This window comes from Homo sapiens, chromosome 9 (genome assembly GCF_000001405.40).
Source record: "Homo sapiens chromosome 9, GRCh38.p14 Primary Assembly".
Lineage (NCBI taxonomy): Eukaryota > Metazoa > Chordata > Mammalia > Primates > Hominidae > Homo > Homo sapiens.
The window spans coordinates 39,551,123-39,553,342 of record NC_000009.12 but is presented as its reverse complement, the minus strand read 5'-3'; the positions used below and the strand labels follow the sequence as shown (position 1 = coordinate 39,553,342).

The following is a 2,220-nucleotide window of genomic DNA, read 5'->3' as shown; positions in this document are numbered from 1 at the left end:
GGAAACTGGAGTGAGTGGAAGATTCCACATAGTTTTACTTGTGATACTCTAGAGACTAGTGGTGAGGTGTCTTGGAGATGGCATAATAATACAAATAACTAAATATTACTGAGTTGTTACTGTATATGGCACTATGTTAAAGGTTTCATAGGCATCACTCCTCATCACAACAATAATAGCCCACCTCGGCCTCCCAAAGTGTCTGTCCCTTCTTTATTCACCAGCCACAATGACACACAGAACATAGTAGGAAGAAAATAGTTTATATTTATTCCTAAGAATATAAACTTCTGTTACCATTCTAAATTTCCAGAAAAACTTATTGTGAGTGCTAAACTAATATCATCCTGACCTAAGGCAAATTGTCAGTTCCTAAGGGTGAGATTTATAGGAGAAAACCATGTCTACGCTTGAGGCAGAGTTTTAGTAGAGATACAATAGCCAGTTGCTATTATTTCAAAGTTTGTCTGTCCCTAAATATTGCCTGCTTAGGTCTGACTATGCTAGGATTAGTGATCATCTGCTCTGAATTAAAGGTTTAGATGCGCTCTTCCCAGGATAAAATTAAGTTTGGGGACTTTCTCTTTTCCTGGGAGCAAAAACCTCAGGAACTAAGTGTGCCATATGCTGGAAGATGGAAATATTCCAACAGCCAGAAGTAGAGGGAAGATAAAAATGGCTTCCTAAAGCAAGGCAAATCAGCGACAGCCAGTCCTGTGGCCACCACTAATCACTTGTAAATGAATGCTGCGATGTGTTTCAAAAGCCCTCATTCTGACTCTGCCTGATCTGCTACTGAAATGTTAATTATATGCCTAATCTTCTCTTGCAAGCAAAGGCAGCAGAGTTGCTAAAGATCATAGCAGGTAAAAGCCTTCAAGGAGAGGTAAGGAGTAAATGGAGCTGGGAGGGAATGGTGTCTCTCAGGACAGAGCCTGGCTCATTGAAAGGGCATAGTCCTACCCTATAAGGGATGCCTCCCAGTGTGACCAGGTCTTCTATGATTTCTTTTTATGAGAAACCAGAAATCTGATTATTTTCATGAGAAATTGGAGTTTTACAAATTAGCAAAACTGTGCTGTGCTGGGAAAATAGAATAAACCTGAAGGCCAGAGGTGTGCTGGGACAGTCACTTACAGAACCAGAGCAAATACTTAGATAGAGCAATGATGTGTTTTAATAAAAACAGGGACTACTGTGCTTTGTAAATGTCTTTATGCCTTCTAAACGTCCTTTCTCCTGAAGTCTATAACGTGACATGGGATAGCAAAGTATTTTTTGGCATGAACCATTGCATTGAATATCTTAACCCATTTGTGTTGCTATTAAAAAAAACTCTTGAGACTAAAAAATGTATTAAAAAAAGAGGTTTATTTGGCTCATGATTCTGCAGCCCATACAGGAAGAATGGCACCAGCATCTGCTCAGCTTCTGGTGAATTTCTCATGTTGCTTCCACACATGGCGGAAGGCAAAGGGAAGCCAGCATGTAGTGAGATCACATAGTGAGAAAAGAGGAAAGAGGGGGGAGGGGGTGCTAGGCTCTTTGTAACAACTAGCTTTCTTGGGAACTAACAGAGAGCTCATTCATCCCCTCTCCCCAGGGAGGGCAACAATCTTTTCATGAGGGATCTGCTCCCAAGACCCTAACACCTCCCATTAGGCCCCACCTCCAACACAGGGGTTCAAATTTCAACATGAGGTTTAGGAGACAAACATCCAGGCTATGTCATTGGATCCTTAGTAGGCTGAAGTAATGTGTTAAAAATAAGTTGTAAATAATTATATGCAAAAACACATAGCATTTTGGAAACTTTGCAAGATAATGAAAATATTTATCTGGATTTTAACTTAATTCACTCCATATTCTACACAAACATATTTTAAAAAAAAATACTATATTTGAGACATTAATATATGTTAGATAACCAATTTACATCCTCAAGAGCTAGGAAAGTATTAAGTTGCCCTTTCTTAATAAAAACAAAATTTATGATGTTAACTGTTTTTTGTTTATTTGTTTGTTTTATTGAGACAGAGTCTTGCCCTGTTGCCCAGGCTGTAGTGATCATGGCTCACTGCAGCCTTGACCTCCTGGGCTCAAGTGATTCTTCCACCTCAGTCTTTGGAGTAGCTGGGATTACAGGCTCATGCCACCATATCTGGTTATTTTTTGTAGAAGCTGTGTTTCACCATGTTGCCCAGGCTGGTCTCAAACTCC

General features: G+C 39.7%; 2 annotated features.

Annotated features, from left to right (window-relative positions):
• Positions 296 to 1,079: an enhancer, noted in NCBI's record as "OCT4-NANOG-H3K27ac hESC enhancer chr9:39552263-39553046 (GRCh37/hg19 assembly coordinates)". NCBI's record gives its function as "activates a minimal SCP1, AML or CMV promoter by ChIP-STARR-seq in primed H9 embryonic stem cells {active_cell/tissue: H9 hESC(primed)}" and the evidence as "EXISTENCE:reporter gene assay evidence [ECO:0000049][PMID:30033119]".
• Positions 1,113 to 1,860: an enhancer, noted in NCBI's record as "OCT4-NANOG-H3K27ac hESC enhancer chr9:41696501-41697248 (GRCh37/hg19 assembly coordinates)". NCBI's record gives its function as "activates a minimal SCP1, AML or CMV promoter by ChIP-STARR-seq in naive and primed H9 embryonic stem cells {active_cell/tissue: H9 hESC(naive and primed)}" and the evidence as "EXISTENCE:reporter gene assay evidence [ECO:0000049][PMID:30033119]".